Raw genomic sequence first — 23,117 nt, 5'->3', positions numbered from 1 at the left:
AGTCATTCTTTTAAATTAAAAAAAGAAAAAAAACTTCCATGGGGAAACAAGTGGCCAGTTCAGCATACAATTCAAACAATTGCACAAGTGGTTTCTGTTAAGATAACTATCATACTTCAGTGTGCAGCAGAAGTGATTTATGCTTATAAGTACTTAAGAGTTGAGATTTAATAAAAATTATATTTTTGCCGGGCACAGTGGCTCACACCTGTAATCCCAGCACTTTGAGAGGCCGAGGCGGGTGGATCACGAGGTCAGGAGATCGAGACCATCCTGGCTAACACGGTGAAACCCCGTCTCTACTAAAAATACAAAAAATTAGCCGGGCATGGTAGCGGGCGCCTGTAGTCCCAGCTACTCGGGAGGCTGAGGCAGGAGAATGGCGTGAACCTGGGAGGCAGAGCTTGCAGTGAGCCAAGATCACGCCACTGCACTCCAGCCTGGGCAACAGAGCAAGACTCTGTCTCGAAAAAAAAAAAAAATTATGTTTTTAACTGCTTCATCAGGAACATTTTTAATTAAAAGTGGCATTTTAAATTCTTTGAGTGCTTAGTGAAGAAGAATACGATGACTGCTAGTACAGCTTTGTGCCACTGCCTTAATTCATGCCAATGAGCCAGCAGTGTTACCCACCATTGCTTCTGCACCTTCAGTGCAAATGTCAACACAGTGAAAGGGACACATAATGTACTTGCATTATTATTTTTAAAAAGTTTGGCCTCATGGCCTCCCCAGAAGGATCTTGGGGAACCCCCTCCCCACCAGGGTTCATGGACCATGTTGGCAAAACTGCTGGGCAAAAGTGTCCTGCATCCAAAGTTTTATTTCATTCACTCAAATACATTCAATAAATCCCTGCTATGTGCCAGCTTCCCTCCATCATTACAGTCTGCTACCTAGATCGAGTGGAGGGACTAGAACTTAAACAGAACTCTGCCTCTAAACTTGTAAAGGGGAACCACTTAGGTAACCCGAAAGGTGGTATTTCCCAAGGCGCTTTGCTTTGTCCAGACCCAGTACAATGTCATGGCATTTTGCACTGACTCAAAGATACCATGCTACTCATCCAGGTACACTGTATAGGCATTAGCAAGTCAGCTCACAAGGGCATCCATGCCTGAAGCCACCCACAATATTACAGACTTGATGGCTTTTAGGGAGATGAGTGGAGTAAGCCATGACACTGACATTCCATTCCACCTTATTTTGTTTGGTAAAATAAGTCTACATACTTTCTATATACTATGTATGTATGTGTATACATACACACACACATACCACATATGGATACTTCTAAATACCTTATATACGCTATATAGACTATGTATGGATAGTCTATATACTTTAAATCATAAAAAAGGGAATAGTTTTATAGCAATTACAGGTGTCAGTCACTACACAGTATTTACTTGTTTTCTTTTAAATCAGCACATAGCCAGGTGTGGTGGTTCACGCCTGTAATCCCAGCACTTTGGGAGGTCGAGGCAGGAGGATCACTTGAGGCCAGAAGTTTAAAAACAGTCTGGTCAACATAATGAGATCCTCTTCTCTGCAAAGGAAAAGAAAAAAAATTTTAATTAGTTGGGTGTGTATTAGTGCACACCTGTAGTCCCATCTACTCAGGAGGCTGAGGCTAGAGGACATTTGAGAGTAGAAGGTCAAGGCTGCAGTGAGCCATGATCATGCCACTGCGCTCCAGGCTGGGTGACAGAGAGAGACCCTGTCTCTAAATAAATGTATAAATAAAATAGCACATAGTAAGTACAATATAAGTGTCATAAAATAAAATACATATATTCCAGGGACTAATCTAAGGACCAAACTCAGTTTAGTCTCAGTCTTCTCAGGCAGATTTGACATAAAAGCTGTGTGTCTATTAATGATAATTTGCTACATTTAAGAATATATCAGAAAATAAAAAGCTTGAGAAGGTTTTTCCAATTAGTGTGGTGCAAGGCTTAAAATGTATCCTACTAGAAGTTGCAGCCAGTCTTCATTATAAGAAATACACTCCCAAATTCCAGATTCTTCTAAAGTTTCGATGACTGGCATTCTATGCTTACTTCCATACTAAAACTTTTGTTTTATTATATTTCCCCTCCCATCCTCCTTGCCTCCCTCTCCATATGATGCAGCTTGACAAAGCCCATTCAAATAGTTATTATTACATTTATAGTGAATTATATCACTTTCAACAAATGGTTGGGTTTTTCATTTAGTGCAAGTGTGCATCTTGTATATTGTGAGTACTCTCATTATTGGTATCCACTGTTTTATTAAAATAGAAGGGAAACATTTAGGTACAAATTTAGGAAATGCTATTCTCTGAAGCAATCCTCCGTGGTCCATTTGTTCTGGAGTGGAATCAATGCGGAAAGTTGCAAGGTATCATCAAAAGTTTATTTACATTCATTGTCTGCTTGTTTCCCACACAAATATATTCTGTGTTTAAGATGTATAAAGCCGAGCCAGGCCTTCTCACGCTGTTTGCAGTAAAATACGGCTTACCACGTCTCTCTGAGGAACCACTGACAAATAGGCTGTTGTTGTCCAACTTTCACTCTGCTGAGGGTAATGATTCAGTGGTTCAGAAGGTTAATTCCTGGAGATAGTGTTGTCTTTGGCTTGAACAGATGTTGGTAGTGCTTTAATGTGGTTATCAAACTAGGCTGCCCTTCATTCTTTGCTCTCTGGAGCCTAGGGCATTGTTCCACAAGGCATTCCAGCCCCCCTCTATGGAGATCCAGCAGAGCTGAACATACCACAGCATTACTCCTGCCAGCACAGGCTCCTCTGGGGTCACTGTGGATACTGACAATATGCAGCACAGAAACTGATAATGACCAACTTGATCTTTAAAAGATCTGTAAATATTTGTAAATGCATAATGATTTGAAATGCCTTTTGACACTCTGATTCAATAATCTGTAAAACTACTTACTGATTAGATGTTCAAATCCCTGAATAGCTCTACGGACTGGCCTCTCAATGGCTTACTAAATATCCTAATATCTTTTTGGCCATATCAATCGCCAAAATTGCTTGGAATAATTTATTATATAGTCAGGGTGTTCATGTCCACCAAATGGAATCAACATTGGGCAATAATCCAAATATTCAGCAAGTTCAGTTTTGCTGATGTTCATATGTAATGATGAAATACACTGCAACCAGCTTAGTGGAAGAAAGAGTTCTCTAGACTAGAAGAGATCATTTCTACCAAAGTACAGTTTCCTATTTTTCTGGCAAATTACTATGAATACAATGCCATTGAAACTGTAGCATCCCAGTAACACAGTGCCATTTCAAAATCAAACTGGTTGTTGACAACTTATTAGGTGTCTAAGCACAGAACGGAATAAGAAAAAATATAAGAACATCCTGCTTTTACGGAACTTAGTCATTTTGGAGAGCCCACAGTTACATGTATGAAATTATCTGAGAGCAATCACCACCAGAAGGAAGACGACTTAGTAATAAAATGTATGAGACTGTCTGGACAGCAAAAGCCATGAATGTCACAAAAGAGAGAAAGTGATTATGATAATGATTGATGCTGATGTTCAATACAGTTTTATTGACGTCTCACTCTGAGCCAGCCCTGAGTTAGGCTCTGTGGATACAAACATGAATAAAACAGAATCCTGCCCTCAAGGAGTTCACAGTCAGGTAGGGGAAAAAGAGCTGTGAACAGATCATTTCAATAAGATGGGGTACCACTTTAGTAGTCTTGGATATGATCCAGAAGAATTCTCTGGATTACCAGCCTGGGACTCCTGTCTCTTCCCTTACTTTCTCCCAAACAAATGGAGTCTCTCTCTCTCTGTGTGTCTCTGTTCTGAACCAACTGGAGCTGGGGGTGGGGTAATACAAGCACCCATGTGGCCACCACCAGTGGGACTGCACTGGGTAAGACCTGAAGCCAGCACAGCACTCAGTCTCACCCAAGAACTGCTGTAACCACTATCTGGCTACCGCCTGCATTTGCTCAAGGTCCTAGGGCTCTACAATCAGCAGGTGGCAAAGCCAGTCAGGTTTTTTTTCCTTCACTTCAGGGTAGTGAGTTCCCTCAGGCCCCAGGAAGTTTCAGAGATGCTATCCAGGAGCCATGGACTGGATTCAAAAACCTTACAAGTCTACCTGGTGTTCTAGTCTACTGTGACTAAGCCGGCCCTCAAACCACCGACACAGTCCTTCCCACTCTTTCCTCCCCTTCCCACAGGCAGAGGAGCCTCATCCCGTGACCATCACCACCACAGGCCCTTGGGGAGTATGGCCAGGCTACTGCTGATGTTCACTTAAGGCCCAAGGGCCCTTCAGTAAGTTTGTGTTGAATGCTGCCAGGCCTAGGACTCCCTTTCAGGGCAGTGGGCTCCCCTCTGACCCAGCACAGCTCTAGAAATGCCACACAAGTGTGAAGACCTGGAATTGGAGGCCCCAAGAGCCCACTTGATGTTCTGCTCCACTATGGCTGAGCTAGTACCTAAGGTACAAGTCAAAGGTCCCTTTACTTTCCACCGTGATTTTCTCAAGCAGAAGGATTCTTTCACCACAGCCACCACACAGTTAGGAATGTTCTGGGTCTCACCTGAAGACAGCATGCCTCAGTCTCACCCAAGGCCCCTGGCATCCTACCTGGGTATCACTGCTGTTTTTTTAGGGTCCAAGGGCTCTTTAGTCAGCAGGTGATAGTTTCTGTTGAGACTGCGTCCTTCCCTTCAAGGCAGCATGTTCCCTTCTGGCCCAGAGTGTATCTAGAAATGTCTAGGAGCTAGGGTCTAAAATGGGAGCCTCACAACTCTGACTGATGCCCTATCCTGCTGTGACTGAGCTTATATCAAAGATGCAAGACAAAATCCTCTTTATTCTTCGTTCTTCTCTTCTCAAGTGGAAGGAAGGGGTCTCTTCTGGAACCGTGAGCTGCACTGCCCGGAGTTAGGGGATGGGTGGTGCAGGCACTGCCTAAGCACTCCCTTAGCTGCCCTGGCTGGTGTCTCAGCAAGTTGCATGACTCCAAGTCCACCTGCTCTGAGCCCAGCTCCGCACTAGGATTCACCTAGGAGCTGCAGTCCTTGTGGCCTAGACTCTTGTTCAAGTTTATTTAGAGCCCCAGAACACTTCAGCCCACAGTGATGAGGCTTGCCAGAACTCATGTTGCAACTGATGGAATAGACGATTCCCCTCTGGTTAGGGCTGGTCTAAATGCTCTGTGTCTTCTGTAATTCTCTTCATCTTTGTTTTATAATTTTTAGTGTATAAATCTTTCATCTGTTCTCTTATTTCTAAGTATTAAGTCGACTGGTTTCAGCCCAGTTTTGCTTTCTGCTGTTACAGGGTGGCATTGAGTTCAATGCAAAGTCTGACAATTGCTTTGCTCTCCCCTCCTCCAAGCATACAGATTCTGTCTCCACACCACACAGCCACTTCTGAGGGGTTGGGGAAGTGTGGCACCAGCAATACAAGACTGTCATTCTTACCCTTTTCAATGTCCCTTTCAGCAATATGACACTAAAAATAGGTACTATAATTGCTCACCTGACTTTTGGTTCTTTTGAAGGTGATTTTTATGTAGATAGTTGTTAAGTGTTGTGTTCCTGTCAGGGAGACAATTAGTAGAGCCTTCTATCCAGCTATCTTCCTCTTCTCCCCATTGCCGTTGCAATTTTGCTAGGAATTGCAGTCAATCTATAGATCACTTTGGGTAATATGGACATTTCAACAATATTAATTCTTCCACTCCATCAACACAGGATATATTTTCATTTATCTGTGTCTTCTTTAATTTTCAATGTTTTATAATTTTCAGTGTGTAAGTCTTTTACCTGTGCTCTTTTTCCTAAGTATTTTATTCTTTGTGTGTGTGTGTGTGTGTGTGTGTGTGTGTGTGTGTGTGTGTGTGTGTCATTGTAAATGGGATTGTTTTCTCAATTTCCTTTTCGATAGTTCAGTATTAGTGGATGGGAGCAGCACTTTTGATTATTACAGAGACTGAATGAGTCGCTATTGGCATTTAGTAGTTGAAGACCTGGAATCCAGACATGCCTCACACAACAAAGAATTGACTTATTTCAAACATTATTATTATTATTATTATTATTATTATTATTATTATTATTAAGATGGAGTCTTACTCTGTCACCCAGGTGGGAGTGCAGTGGCGCAATCTCAGCTCACTGCAACCTCTGCCTCCTGGGTTCAAGTGATTCTCCCACCTCAGCCTCCCGAGTAACTGGGACTACAGGCATGTGCCACCAGGCCTGGCTAATTTTTGTATTTTTAGTAGAGATAGGGTTTCAACCATGTTGGCCAGGTTGGTCTCAAATTCCTGACCTCAAGTGATCTACCCACCATGGCCTTCCAAAGTGCCGGGATTACAGACATGAGCCACCGTGCCCGGCCTTCAGGCATTATTTTTGAAGGTCCCACCAAACTTCCATGTAGTAAGAAATCATTTTTATAAATATCAGAACCTTGAGCCTAGCTCCATCTTACATTTACTTTGGTTTTACTGGATACTGCATTTTCCAGAAATGCAAATGGTGCATATATCCAGGAAAGATCACACTGTGCTTTTGTTTTTAGTTCACTAGTCTGTCTAGGGTTGTCCATCATTTCAGAAAACCATCAGCTATGATAATGCTTATAAAATTTTGGTTGCTGACACAAACCCAGTAGCATCAGCCTGTATGCAGAGCTGCTACTTTCACACTGATTCTACATATAGGTGCAAACATCTACTATAGTTAAGTGTGAGCCATTGTGTATGAAGAAAAATGTATTACAATTACTTTCCTTCTATTTCCCCTTCATATTACAGTTAGGGCATTTTGTTTCTTTATGTTTAATTATGGGCATAAGTGTGTTATAGCAATTAATCTCTAACTTTACTACTTGTATAGACCACATGTGAATCTTATTGAAACACAAATTCTGATTTAGCAGACCTGAGAGTGGAACCCATGATTCTGCATATCTAACAAGCTCCCAGATGATGGCCAACATGCTGCTGGTCCCTGATGCTATTACACTTTGAGTAGTAATGGGCTATAGTAACTGTGCATTTCTTTTCAGGGTAAAGAGGCCATTGTCAAATAGGTATTCTATCCAAGGGACAGAGGGTCTGATGTGGTTGAGGATGGCTACGTTAGGCAGAAACTCAGAGCTCTAAAAATAGTTGAGGAAATAATACCTCCACAATAGACAAGCTGAGAGCCAAATCATAAGTGAACTCCCATTCACAATTGCTACAGAGAGAATAAAATACCTAGGAATACAACTTATAAGGGACGTGAAGGAACTCTTCAAGGAGAACTACAAACCACTGCTCAAGGAAATGAGAGAGGACACAAACAAATGGAAAAACATTCCATGCTCGTGAATAAGAAGAATTAATATCGTGAAAATGGCCATACTGCCCAAAGTAATTTTTAGATTCAATGCTATTCCCATTAAACTACCATTGACTTTCTTGGCAGAATTAGAAAAAACTACTTTAAATTTCATATGGAACCAAAAAAGGACCCGTATAGCCAAGAAAATCCTAAGCAAAAAGAACAACACTGGAGGCATCACGCTACCTGACTTCAACTATACTACAAGGCTACAGTAACCAAAACAGCACAGTACTGGTACCACATAGATATATAGACCAATGGAACAGAACAGAGAACTCACACATAACACCACACATCTACAACCATCTGATCTTTGACAAACCTGACAAAAACGAGCAATGGAGAAAGGATTCCCTATTTAGTAAATGGTGCTGGGAAAACTGGCTAGCCATATGCAAAAACAGAAACTGCACCCTTTCCTTACACCTTATACAAAAATTAACTCAAGATGGATTAAAGCCTTAAATGTAAAACCCCAAACTATAAAAACCGCAGAAGAAATGCTAGGCAATACCATTTAGGACATAGGCATGGGCAAAGACTTCATGACTGAAACACCAAAAGCAATGGCAACAAAAGCCAAAATAGACACACAGGATCTAATCAAACTAAAGAGCTTCTGCACAACAAAAGAAACTATCATCAGAGTGAACAGGCAACCTACAGAATGGGAGAAAATTTTGGCAATCTACCCATCGGACAAAGGTCTAATATCCAGAGTCTACAAGGAACTTAAACAAATTTACAAGAAAAAAAAAAAAAAACATCAAAAAGTGGGCAAAAGATATGAACCGACACTTCTCAAAAGAAGACATTTATGTGGCCAATAAACATATGAAAAAAAGCTCATCATCACTGGTCATTAGAGAAATGCAAATCAAAACCACAATGAGATATCACCTCACACGAGTTAAAATGGCGGTCATTAAAAAGTATGGAAACAACAGATGCCGGAGAGGATGTGGAGAAATAGGAATGCTTTTACACTGTTGGTGAAAGTGTAAATTAGTTCAACCATTGTGGAAGACAGTGTGGCAATTTCTCAAGGATCTAGAACCAGAAATACCATTTGACCCAGCAATCCCATTACTGGGTATATACCCAAAAAATTATAAATAGTCCTACTATAAAGACACATGCAAACGTATGTTTATTGCAGCACTATTTACAATAGCAAAGACTTGGAACCAACACAAATGCCCATCAATGATAGACTGGATAAAGAAAATCTGGCACATATATACCATGGAATACTATGCAACCATAAAAAAGAATGAGTTCATGTCCTGTGCAGGGACATGGATGAAGCTGGAAGCCATCATTCTCAGCAAACTAACATAGGAACAGAGAACCAAACACCACATGTTCTCACTCATAAGTGGGAGTTGAACACATGGACACAGGGAGGGGGACATCACACATTGAGGCCTGTCGGAGGGTGGGGGGAAAGGGGAGGGAGAGCATTAGGACAAATACCTAATGTATGCGGGGCTTAAAACCTAGATGGCAGGTTGATACGTGCAGCAAACCACCATGGCACATGTCCCAGTCCACTGACTCACATGTCAGTCTCCTCTGGAAACACCCTCAGAGACACACACCCAGAAACAATATTTCACCAGCCATCTAGGCATATCTCAGTTAAATCGATACCTAATCATCACATATGGTCTCATGTAATCTTCATAGCAACCCTGTAAGACCAGAATTATTCTTTAGATTCCAGATAAGAAAACTAAGACTCAGAGTGTAAACTGTCACACACTTTACAGGTGAAAGGCAAAGCCTGAAGTCAAGAATGAACTAAGGTCTGTTCAATTCCAGAGCCCTCACAGGGCCCTCAAGAGAAGCTTCTTTGTAACCCTGATCAAGGATTCATGCCCCTGTGCTCTGTCCAGTTGCAAACTCCACAAAACACTAAATTGCCCAAACAGTATTTTTCCATTCAGAAAGTTAAGAATTCATGGTCTCAGCCAGGCACAGTGGCTCACACCTATAATTCCAGCACTTTGGGAGGCTGAGGCAGGTGGATTGCCTGAGGTCAGGAGTTTGAGACCAGCATGGCCAACATCGTGAAACCCCGTCTCTGCTAAAAATACAAAAAATTAGCTGGACGTGGTGGCAGGCGCCTGTAATCCCAGCCACTTGGGAGGCTGAGGCAAGAGAATTGCTTGAACCTGGGAGGCGGAAGTTGCAGTTAGCCAAGATTGCGCCATTGCACTCCAGCCTGGGCAACAAGAGCAAGACTCTGTCTCAAAAACAAAAAAAGTTCATGGTCTCCCTCCTCTGCCCACCTGCTGGGCACTGGGCTGGGTTGGCCAGGCCTGGGGCCAGCCAATGCAACCATTCTCCACCTCTGGGCCTGCCACCCACTTTTTGCCTAGGTAGGGCAGGCTGCTCAGTCCACCATGGTTATATGTCTTCTTCTTGTTCCCATGCTTCCTACCCATGATGTAGCAAGATTTTTTCAGAGGAGAAAACTGAAACCTAAAGAACTTATGCCATTTGCCTAGCTCAGAACTGGCTGAGCGGAGACTGAAAGCAGATCAATTTGCTTCCAGAGAAAAGGCTCCCCAGCCGCATTACACATACCCATCCTGAAGCTTGAGGCAGAGACAGAAGCTGGGGCCTTGTGTTTAAACAAAAACTTCCTTTTCAAAACCCAAACTTGTCCTAGTTTCTCCTTTGTTAACTTGCCAAAGTAGGTGAGAGAGACTACTGCAGTGTCTACCTGATGTCTAACCCCTTAAAGTGTTTTTTTGTTTTTGTTTTTGTTTTTTAAAAAAAGGCTCTGTGATTTGGAGTGATTCAGTTTTTCTAAGATCAAATACCTGGTGTAACTTTGGTTTCCTTTTTTCATTGCCATAGAACTAGCTGATGGGTTATTGGCACCGTTCAGAGTGACCCATGGCTCTTGTGATTCTGTGCCTATGACTCAAAGGCAAAAAAGACTCAAGGAAAAGAGATTTTGAGGAAAGGTTTTTCAGAGTTCAGTGTAATAAACCATCTCCCAGCCCCTGAGAGTGGTTGAGAAGCAGAATGGTGGAGAACTGCCCATTGCACAACTCCAGAGTGCACCAGACCCTCTGCATTGTGGCCCAGGGGTGCCAGCCATGTACAACACATGGCAATGGTGACCCCTGGAGTTGTGCTATGCAATAACCTCTGATAAATTTCAATCACCTGGCTTCTGGACAAGGGTAGATCCAATTGAGGGTGGCCCTCTTACAAGGCTATGAAAATGTATGAATTAAAACTAAGGTATGTGCATGTGTTCACCAAAAGATGCATGTCTTAGTCTGTTTGGGCTGCTATAACAAAATACTATAAACCATGTAGCTTATAAACAACAGCAAGTTATTTTTCACAATTCTGGAGGCTGGAGAGTTGTAAGATCAAGGCACCAACAGGTGTGGTATCTGCTGAGAGACCAATTTCTGGGATAGCACCTTCTAGCTGTATCCTCACATTGGTGGAAGGAGCAAGGCGGCTTCCTCTGGCCTTTTATAAGGACAGTAATCTCATTCACGAGAGTCCTATTCATGACTTAATCATCTTCCAATGGCCCCACTTCCTAATGCCATCACACTCGGGATTAGGTTTCACAATATAGCTTTTTTTTTTTTTTTTGAGGTAATATAGACTTTACTTTCTATTTTTAACTTACACATAATTGTACATATTTTTATGAGGTACATAGTGATGTTTCGGTACATACAGTGTATAGTGATCAGATCAGGGGAATTAGCATATCCATGATCTCAAACATTTATCATTTCTTTGTGTTGGGACATTCAATATCCTCTCTTTTAGCTATTTGAAAATACATATTATTGTTAACTATAGTTATCCTACAGTGCTATAAAACTCTAGAGTTTGTTCTTCTTATCTAGCTGTAATTTTGTGTCCTTTAACAGATCTCTCCCTTACCCCCTCTTCCTCCTATTCTTTCCAGCCTCTAGTAACCCTTCAACATATGACTTTTGAGGGGATACAAACATTCAGATCATGGCAATGTACTAGAATGTATAGAGTATATATTTCCAATACCCCAAACTGACATATACTCAAACAGATAAAGTGTAATAGATTTACATATTAGAATACTATACAGCAACAAAAAAGAATAAGCTACTGATACATGCATCAATGAGGGAAGCTCATGGACATACCTTTCAGTAAAAGAAGCCAGACGCAAAAGAGGACAAGCTGTATGATTTCATTTACAAACATGGAGAAACCAAATCTATGCTGTTGGAAACCAGGCTGGTGATTAACTTTGGTGTACAGCCACTGGAAGGGAACAAATGGGAGATTTTCAGGATGCCAGTCATCTAAAATTTTTTGATCTGAATGCTAGTTACCCAGATGTATCAATTTGTGGAAATGCTTCGAATCGTATGCTCATGACATATGCTTCTCTTCAATTTTTTCAATTTTTAAAAAATAGGTAGAGGGCCTTGGAAGGTGCCTATATTCTAATCCTCCACATCCCTGGGACAATGAGTAAGAGAATGACAGCTGTCCCTTTAGTGTCCACCTCCTATGGCAGTCCCAGGAACAGACTCCACTGGGATCCTACAAGCAGGCCTTTGGAAGAAGGCTTTGAAAAACCAGCTCTGTCTTAGGCTCCCTGTAATCTAAGACTTCCAGCTGATGCATCTCATAGGCCTGCCTTCCCAGAAAGTCCCCTTCATTCCAAGTTTTCTGAGCCCTGTCTTCATCCCTTCTCCCAGCCCTTTAAGTCCAAAGTTCATCTGTTCTATGGCCCGTTCCCTCAGGCCTCTGCTTTCTGCTCCTGGGATCTCTGAAGACAAGGCCATAAGTAACAGAGTTAATGGTAGGAATTCAGGACTCTCAGCTGGCTGATAAGGGAGTTAATTCAAACACCAACAACAGCAATAGCTAACACTAAGAGCTTACCATATGTCACATGCTGTTCTAAGTGTTTTATGAGTATTCACTCAATTAATACTCACAATAATTCTAAGGCAGTTGCTATTACTATCATCTTTTTTCCAAATGAGAAAACTGGGATTCAGAGAGATGAAATAATTTTTCCAAGATAACACAGCCAATAAGTGAGAGAGGTGGGATTTGAACTAGGTTCTAATGGACTCCCAAATCTGCACTGAGAGCCACTAAGCTATGCTACTACAAGCACTTAAAGGCCATGCTTCTGAGCCAAAACTACTCCTTCATTCCCATTTCCTCCTGGATTTCAAGAGGCTCAGCAGTCTGCTCTCATTGCAGCCCCAGTTGCCCCCAGCCCCCATTGAGGCAGGAGCCCAGTGGCTGCTATGCACTGGAAAAGCCCCCATCCCATCAGCCTGGTAAACATAAGCAGAACGCAAATCTAAATCTAAAATAATTTCAAAATATAACAAAAGAAACAACAGGTGCTGGAGAGGATGTGGAGAAATAGGAATGCTTTTACACTGTTGGTGGGACTGTAAACTAGTTCAACCATTGTGGAAGACAGTGTGGCGATTCCTCAGGAATCTATAACTAGAAATACCATTTGACCCAGCCATCCCATTACTGGGTATATATATATACCCAAAGGATTATAAATCATGCTGCTATAAAGACACATGCACACGTATGTTTATTGCGGCACTATTCACTATAGCAAAGACTTGGAACCAACCCAAATGTCCAACAATGATAGACTGGATTAAGAAACTGTGGCACATATACACCATAGAATACTATGAAGCCATAAAAAATGATGAGTTCTTGTCCTTTGTAGGGGCATGGATGAAGCTGGAAACCATCATTCTCAGCAAACTATCGCAAGGACAAAAAAAACAAACACTGCATGTTCTCACTCATAGGTGGGACTTGAACAATGAGAACACTTGGACACAGGAAGGGGAACATCACACACCGGGGCCTGTTGTGGGGTGGGGAGAGGGGGGAGGGATAGCATTAGGAGATATACCTAATGTAAATGACGAGTTAATGGGTGCAGCACACCAACATGGCACATGTATACATATGTAACAAACCTGCACGTTGTGCACATGTACCGTAGAACTTAAAGTATAATAAAAAATATATATATTTTAAAAAAAAGCATTCTCAAGTGCTGTGGTGCTATCATGGCCTCTGTGTGCCTGTGAGTACATGTATGTGTGTGCTCTCAGATGTGTGCATGAACATGTCTGCATGCATATCTGTGGTCAAATATGTCTATGATTGGCCACAAATCTTTTGGTACCTTAATCTGTGTGCGTGTGCATTTTCTATTTCTGTGATGTGTGGCTATAAGTGTGGTATGTGTGTCTAGGTGTTTGGGTATATGTGTACTTATGTGAACATTCTATGATTATACATGTGTAGCTATGTGTATGTGCATTGGTGTGTATGTGTCCATGAGCATACACATGTGATGAGCACACATGTGGATGTTAGTGTGCTATTAAGTGTGTAAGCACATTCTCTGCCTCTGCATATCTCTCCATATGAGGCTGTCTGTATATATCACTGTATCTCTATGTACTTGTCTGTATATTTGCCTAAATTCTTGCATGCATTTATGTTTGTGGATTTCTATGTATGCCTGTGTGAGTGCATGTCTGTGCATTTGTGACTTCAGTTCAGGGGTACCTCTATATACCTGTGTGTGTATGTGGTTTTAGGTGTTGAACTGTATATTTGCATGCTTATATGAATTTTGCATGCTTGGTGTGTCTGTGTGGATCTGTAGTATGTCTGTGTGTGTGCACATATCTGTATGTTTGTATGCATAAAGTGCATGTAGGGTTTTATATATGTCTGTATGTACATATATAAATACCCAGCTACATAAAAATCTCTTAGAATCTCATTTCATCAGACCATACTGCCCCAAATCACACCCACTTATTTCTTGAAGATGTTCACTCCTGGTACACTATTGCTCCCCCCAACACTATGCCTGCTTCAATCCCCGGCAATTGTAATATAAATATAGATTATCTACCCAACACCCTGGCTTCTCAGTTCTTTGAACTCCAACAATTGCATTTTTGACCCCGCCACAGTCACTAATTCCCACAGTCACATTTTAAAGTGTTATCTCTTGCTGTACAACATACCACTGCAACACCGTGGCTTCAAACAACAAACAAATGTATTATTTCTCACAATTCTGTGAATTGGCTAAGCGGTTCTTTGTGCTGGTCTCACCTGGGCTCACTCATGCCTTTGGTTGTGAGCTGGCTGGGGACTGGATTCAGCTGGACTTCTCTCTCCAAGTAGTATTTCATCCTCAAAGAGGTGTTTTGTTTTTTAATGTAGTGGTGGCAGCTTAGCAAAGCCGAAGCTGCCAGGCCTCTTGAGGCAGAAGCTCAGAAGTCATACATTACTTTTTCCTCTTTCTCTTGGTCAAATCACAGGGCCAGCTCAGGTTCAAGAGGCAGAGAAACAGACTTCACTGTGGATAGAAGGCACTGCAAAGAACTTGGGGTCATTTCTCATCAACAATACTTAGGCCTGTGTCAGTTCCAGGGTCAGGTTCCAGCCCATGCTGAGGTCCAGAGGGAGTTGGTGGATGAGTAGCAGATAGCTGAAAGAACACCTGGGGGGACGCAGGTAGGTGAAAGATGATTTTATTCAGCAGCAGTTTTCAGCAGGAGCTCTCTTACACTGCCTGCTCTGTCTCAGCTGCTTGAGCGGGCAGCCCCCATGACAGCTGCGCGGCCGGCTCTCCCTTGCCTTCAGGGTCAGCAGCTTGACTATTTCTCTGGGCACAAGAAAGCCAAGCTGTGTCCTAGTTCCCTCCTGTCTGTCCGCAAGACTGACAGCTTTGACTCTCTCTCTCTGGGCGCAAGCGTGCTTGTACAGTGTCAGCAGGGCAATTATACCTTTTACAGACAATAGTGGCATAGAGCCAAGCGATGGCCTTCCCATGTTATGGCTACACGGCTGTGATAACAAGTGAAGTTATATGCCTGCACTCTAAACTCGCTGAGTCACTCTGGATGTTTACCTCGGCCTATCCTTGACCAAAGCACAGCCATGTTCCTTACACCTTGCCATGACCAATAACTGCAAATCTCCCATAATCTCAATTTCATAGTCACCCTCTCTGACCACCACCTCCTATCTTTTCAGTTCACTCCTTCTTATATTGCAAATCTAGTAGTCCTTCACCCTGCTGGGACATCCATTTTACTGATACTACCATCTTTGCACTGTCTACCTACCTGGTATCCTTTCTGTCTTCTTTCCTGGCCCAGCTTAAATTATGTCAGTCACTCACTAGAATATCTTGTGGCACTTATCTAAGCAACACTCCTGGTTAAATCAACTCTCCACCTCCTCTGTGCTTCCACCTGCGTACCTGAATGAAACTGGGTGGGGGGTGGGCGGGGGGGCGGGGGTGGGTTGTGGAATACAGGATTCCAGCTGGTTTCACTTTCAACTCATGAACCAACCCCAAATCAGGTGGGACACTAAATTTACCCCAGAATCATATTATAGTCTCCTAGTCTATTTATTGTGATACTCCTTGAAAAACATATTATGTTTTCTTCTCTCTCTTCAAACTTCTAAGTTAACCCCATGCTCAGCTATGAATTTGCTTCCTGTTTCTCTAAAAATATGTCAGCATCTTTGTCTACATATGCTAGTTTCCTTTTACTGGGGATAAAAAGTTGACGCTCCTAGCTAAGCTCAACCTCTTCACCTGTGCATGGAGTCGCATTCCTTCCACCTGCTCAAGCACATCCTCTAGCAATTCTTCCCTCTATTTTCTGCACCACAAATCTTTCTCTATGGGATCCAGCAATTCTGGATCATTTCTATCATCATGTGAGCACACCAGAATTTTTTTTCTCTCAATTAAAAAAAAAAAAATCTCAAGGGACCCTTGAGCTCACTTTCCCTTCAGCTCTTGCTCCGTTTCTTTACTCCCCTTTATTGCAAAACTTGGGAGTTACCGATATTTGCCGTTTCCAATTCTTTCCCTCTCATTCCTTTTTTAACCTATTTCAATCAGGCTTTCTGTCCCACGACTTCACTCTAAACTGCTGTTCTCAAGGTTGCCAACGACCTCCACGTTTTCAGATACAGTAGTCAATTCTCACACCTCATGTTGACTCATCAGCCACATTCGGCAGTTGATGAACAGTTGATGATGATCATAAACACTGGATCATCCTACAAACTCTTCACTTGGCTTCCAGGACACCTACACTCAACCATCTCTGCTTTCCTAGTTTACTGACCATTCTTCCTCATCTCCTTTGCTGAACTTCTCACCTTTTGACTTATTAACTTAACAATGCACCAGGGCTCAGTTCTTGAAGCTCTTTTTCTTTACTTACACTTACTCCCTTGCTAATCTTATCTAGTTTCATGCTTTTATCTATTCTCCAACAATTCACAGATTTTTATCTTGAGATCAGATCTCTTCTCTGAACTCCAGACTTTCACATTCAACTACATACTTGTATCTCCATTTGAATGTCTAATTGGCATCTCAAACTTAACATGTTCAAAAACCAATTCTTGATCTTCGCATACCAATCTGCACTTTCTATGGTATTGGCCATCTGTTAATGGCAATTCCACACTTCTTGTTGCTTACGCAAAATATCTTGGCATCATCTTGACTTCTCTCTTTTTCTCACAACTCTAACCCAATCCACCTGTAAATTATGTTGGCTCTATTCTCATAATATATCCAAATATCTCTCACCATCTCCCTTCATATCAGTTTAACCCAATCCACCATAATGTCTTGCTTGGACTTACACAATAGCCTCCTAACTAGTATTTGAGATTTTATCCTTAATTTGCTTCTGCTTGTTTTCAAAGAGAATCCAGAGTGATCTTGTTAAAACATAAATTACATATACAATTATTATGTGCCAATTTTAAAAACATAAATTAGATCATGCTATTCCTCTGCTCAAAATCTTGCCACATTTCTACATCATGGAGGAAAATCCAAAGCCCTTATACTGATTACAAAGACCTACATGATCTGGGCCATCCCCACTTATCTACTACTGTCCCTTTCTTTCAGCCCACTTCAGACACACTGGCCTCCTCGCTAATACTTGAACATGCCAGGAATTCTCCAATCTCAGGGCACTTGACCCTGATATTTCCTCAGCCTGGAAATCTCTTGTTCCAGGCAGCTGCATGCTTGCTCTCTGCTCTCCTTTAGATCTTTACTCAAAAAGTATCGTCCTTATTGTACCTTCTGTAGCCACCCTTAAGTAAAATATCAACCCCCTACCCAGCATTTCATATCTCTCTTCTGTTTATATTTTCTCCTGAGCACTTTTCACTATCCAGTTATACAGTATTTTAAAATCTTGTTTATCTTCTTTCTCATCCACTAGAATGTTGGATCCACAAGACCAGGAAATTTTGCCTGTTTTCTTCAATGCTGCATCTCCAGTGGAGAAGCCTAGAAGAGCTTCAGTCAAATAATGTAATGTTTACTCAATAAATGTCATTGAATTCACTGATGAATAAATACATCTGTGTGTATCTACATATGCATCTCTGTATGTGAATGCGTGTGCACACATCTACATGTTACCAACTGTACGTGCCCACAGATGTGTATATATCTGTGTAGACCCAGTTAGTAAGTGGCAAAGTTGAAATTTGAGTAGTAACAGTTGGTTTTTACTGTTTATGGTGTGCATAGCACTGTGCTAAGCACTTTGCAGAAAGTATTGCATTTAATCCTATCCATGAGGCAGGTGCAGTGTCCTGTTTAAGATGAATATCTAGAGCCAGGCTGCCTGTTTGAATCCCAGCTCTTCCACTTCCTAGACGTGTAAGCATGGACTAACCACTTATCCTTCCCAAGACTCATTTTTTAATCTGTAAAATGAGGATAACAATAGTACCTTTATAAAGTCGTTGTGAAGATTAAATGAGAAAATACATAGGTAGCATTTAGAACAGTGCCAGCCACCTAGTAAGCACCATATGAATATTTGCTATTGCTCTCAATTTACAGAAAATTAGACTGAAGCTCTGAAAGGTTGAATTTGGCTTAATAACAACAATAATAGAAGGATAATAGCTTCCATTTACCAAGTGCTTACTATATACTAAATGGACCCTTTTCATACATTATAATATAGATATTTATATATGTAGGAATATATACACATTATTCATGTGTTTATGTATATATTTTTTAAATGACAAAATTAAAAAGTTAAGCAACCTGTCCAGGGTTGCACAGATCTATATAGGAGATGCACAGCTGGTCTGTGTGAGGCCAGAGTTTGTACCCTCAACCACCTTGCACTAACGTAGCTGTGTTATGTAAGTATATGCTTGTGCATGTCTTTGTGTGCATGTTGTATGCAAAGGCATGTGAGTATATGTGGCTGTTTCTGTAATCGTAGGTGTCTCTATGCCCCTGTGAGCACGTGCATGATTTTAAGAGATCATTCCAATTTACTCGCCTGTTCTTCTCCAATACAGCCAGCAGAGGGGGCTCAGGAGTTTTTTTCTCCTCTTGAGAAGAGAGTGCACATTAAATTTTTTTCTCATCTTGAGAAGAGAGTGCACATTGAACAGACAAAATTTAATTTAATAAAATTAATAAAACAGAGCGCATTTTCCTTTGAAAATGCTAGTTCTTGAAGGGGATAGCTGTGGTCTATAAATGGCTTTTCATACCCTGAAGACAGAAAGCAGGCAGCCACTCAGACTTCGAATCTCTCCACCATCAAGACCGTTTCTGAGAGCAGGCATCCAGCTCCCAAAGAAGGCTAAACCCCTGAGCTGCCAAGCATCACTTCCGTCTCTTCTGTGACATCACACATGGCTCACTCACAGCCTTCTGACTTTCCAAAAAGCCCCTCTGCAGCTACCCTACAACCAACCAAGTACCCAACTTTCCTGTTTTCCTTTGGGTAGCTGTTCAGATGCAATTCAACTGACACTGATAGAACACCCATGAGGCCAGGATTTGTCTCATTTAAACCTCCCAACAAGTCTAGGAGACAAGAATCACTATTTTACTCTTCTCATTTAGCAAAAGAAGAATCAAGGCTTAGAGAGGAGGGTGTCTTGCCCAAGGTCACACAGTCCATAGGAGGCAGAGGCAGAAATGAAACCCAGATTCCTCTGAATCTAGAACCTACTCTCCCTTCTACTACACCATGGGCTATGGAAATTGGTGGGGTTATAATTGGAACCCAGGCGGTGACTGACTCCTTTTCTTGACTAACCCATATGCCAAAAATTCTCAAACCTGAATATGCACCAAAATCACCTGTGGGTATTGTTTGAGAAAAATGAAAATGCAAACAAAAATACAAGGCACAGGGAGTCTCAGTGTGTAGCAAGCCCAGGAATTTGCCTTGGTAATGAAGACTACATGTGACTCTGATGCAGATGGTCCCCTGGCCACACTGGGGAGAACATCGGGCATTTCACAAGGCCCACTCAACTTCACTCAAGCACCACAAATTCTTGGCCAGCCAACTCAAAAAGCCTCAGAACACTTCCAAATACCCACAGTGACCATTGATGGAGCACCTGCCACATGCTGGGGACTTTACATTTAGGTCTGTGATCTATTATGATCTATTTCAAGTTCATTTTGAGGAAAGATATAAGGTCTGTGTCTAGATTATTTTTATATGAATGTCCAATTGTTTCAGCATCATTTGTCGAAAAGACTGTCTTTGCTCCATTGAATTGACTGTGCTTCCTTGTCAAAAAATAGTTGACTATATTTGTGTGGGTCTATTTTCTGAGGTCTCTATTTTGTTCTACTGATTTACTTGTCTATTCATTCACCAATGCAACAGCATCTGATTCCTGTCACTTTTTAGTAAGTCTTCAAATCATAGTAGTAGTCTGAGCCCTCCAACTTTGTTCTTCTTCAGTATTTTGTTGGCTATTTTAGGCCTTTTGCCTTTCCATATAAATTTTAGAATCAGTTTGTGGATTTCTACAAAGAGCTTAATAGGATTTTGATTGGGATTGCATTGAAGCTATAGGTCAGTTGGGAATAATCGACATCTTAACAACACTTGGGTTTTCAGTCCGTTAATGTGAGATAACTCTCCATTTATTTAGGTCTTCTTTGATTTCTTTCATCAGCACATTGTAGCTTTCCACATATAAATCCTGCAAGTATTTGTTACATTTGTACCTAAGTATTTAAATTTTGGCGCTATTTTAAATGGTATTCGTTTTTAACTCTTAATTTATTTCCAATTGTTCATTGCTGTTATATAGCAAAGAAATTAACTTCTATATATTAACCTTGTACCCTATGACTAACCACTTATTTGTTCCAGGAGAATGTTTTGTCAATCCTTTGGCATATTCTACATAGATATTAATGTCATCTGCAAAGACCCAGGCAATTTAGATACATCATACTATTTAATTCTCAAGCCAAGTCTGCAAGTCAGGTCCTATATGTATCACCATTTTCCAGAGAAGAAAACTGAGGCTAAGCTACCTTAATTCAATTCTCCAAGGTAAAAAGCTTAGAAATGGAGGAGCTGAGATTTAATGAAGGTCTACCTTTATCTACCACTTGTGATTCCTATACTCCACCGCAGTGAGCTGCTTCAAAAAGTATGCTGCAGGAAAATATAGCAAAAGCCCCATGGGGACAGGGGAATCAATCTGTGTACCACATCCAGTCTGTATCATTGAGCAAGTCATTACATATCTGTGGAACACTGGTCCAGTCCTAGGACCCCATGAAATATGGATAAGAAAGTAAGGCTCAGAGATGCTACTTGAAATTTGTAATTTAAGAGAACTGTCTAGATTAATAACAAATCAGAAGAGCACATGGAAAAGGTATTTGAAAAAGCAAGGGACCTTAAATTCTGGACATAATGTACCCTCTCAGCACCCCCTGACACACACACATGCTGAAATGAGGGTTAAGCCACCATATCAGGAGGCCCAGGCCCAGCCAAGCCCAATCACAAAACAGTCTCAAATCCCTAAGTGAAACCCATACCAGACACAATCTAAGTGGTGATCAGAAGCAAGGTGACAAGGAGGAAGGGACCTCACAAGATGGAAACAGCAGGTAAACACCATGAAGTTCACAACTGACATTGGTCTCCACAGCAACACTGAGTGTTTTCTAAAACAGGGGACCCCATCTCATTCATCCTTAAAGTGCAGCCCAGAACTAGATGTATAGCAGATATTCAACAAACATGAACAATTCTCCTTGACGCCTCTATAAGGAGATGGATCTTTTAGCGCAAGCTCAGATCACACCTATACCCCAGTTGACGGGTTTGCTACCTCATTTCAGGACACATACCCTAAGGACTACTAGTACTGCCCCAGGATGAGATTTATCCAGTGGCCTTTCATTCAGCCATTGTACATTTACTGAGACCTTCGCTAGGCCCTGTGCAGGACTCTAAACTTGATCACGGGCTCTGGGGTCAGCCAAGCCTGGGTGCAAATTACTGCTCTCCACTGATCAGCTTTGTGCACTCGCGCAACTTCACCTCTGTAACCCTTGATCTCTTTATCACGAAAAAGGGATGGAAATCCTACCAATTTCACAGGACACTGGTGGGGATGAAGTCAGAGGATAGGGGTGACGCTCTGAGCACAGGGTCTGGCACCCAGGCAATGCTCCATATAGGTCGGCTATTGTTACCCAAGATCCCTGCCCTGGAGCCCTGCTGTCTGACCACAGGATGTGGTGGCTGTGGAGAGTCCAGGATCCCTGCACGGTCCCACTTGGCCACTTCCTAATTAGCCAGCAATCCTGGGGCACAGGAGGCAGGAGGTGAGTGAGGAGTGGCTGATGAGAGTCACTCTCAAGGACCTCTCAGCTGCTCTACGAAGAAGTCAGTATCAGCCAATGACCCAGTGGCAGAATGAACACCTAATACACCAGGGTTGGAACATGTGGGAACAGGAAAGCCTGGTTTTCAAAAGTAAGCAATAGGACTGTGGCAAGGATTAAGTAAATTGATTCATGCAAAGTACTTAGTAAATTGATTCATGTAGAGCCCAGGGCCTAGGTTCAGTGAATATCAGCTTCTGGTACATTAGCCGCGGTCTCAGCCCCTTAGGGATCTGGCTAGTGTACAGCCCAATGTAATCATGGAACCCACCTGCACTTGTAGGGCGTGGTCTACGGTGGTGGAATTTGTGGAGCCCTAAACAGGCCCTGCTGCCTCAAAACCCCCTCTACCCCAGATGTCACAGTGCCACGCTGTCATTATGAGACAGGCATTCCACATAGAATGGGTGGCGAATATGCAGCACTAGTTCTCAGAACACTTCCACCTTCATGAGGGCAGACATCACTGAAGAGGTTCTCTGTCCCATCGAGTCCAGACAGGACCTTGGATCAGGCTTCATGACACAGTGCTCTGCGTAGAAATTGCTCTGGGAGTTGTACCTCTTGCTTCTCTGAGACAGGTTCTCTGTCATTGCTTTATTTTATTTCTGATTTAGTTTTACAATTAGTGGCACTTTATCTGTCACTGTCTATGTGTTTATTGAAATCTTAGTTGAGGTAATTGTAGATGTAAGAGATAATACAGAGAGATCCCATGTACCCTAGATCCAGTCTCCCCAAAGGGTAACATCTTAGAAAACTGTACTACAAGATCGCAACCAAGACAATGACATTTGTACAATCCACCGATGTTATTCACATTTCCCTGGTTTTGCGTGTACCCATTTGCATGTGTGTGTATTTTGTTCCACGGAATTTTATCACATATGTAGGTTCATGTATCT

Source organism: Homo sapiens, chromosome X, assembly GCF_000001405.40.
Source record: "Homo sapiens chromosome X, GRCh38.p14 Primary Assembly".
In the NCBI taxonomy this organism is placed as follows: domain Eukaryota; kingdom Metazoa; phylum Chordata; class Mammalia; order Primates; family Hominidae; genus Homo; species Homo sapiens.
The sequence above is the reverse complement of the archived record's forward strand: the minus strand, read 5'-3'. Positions refer to the sequence as shown.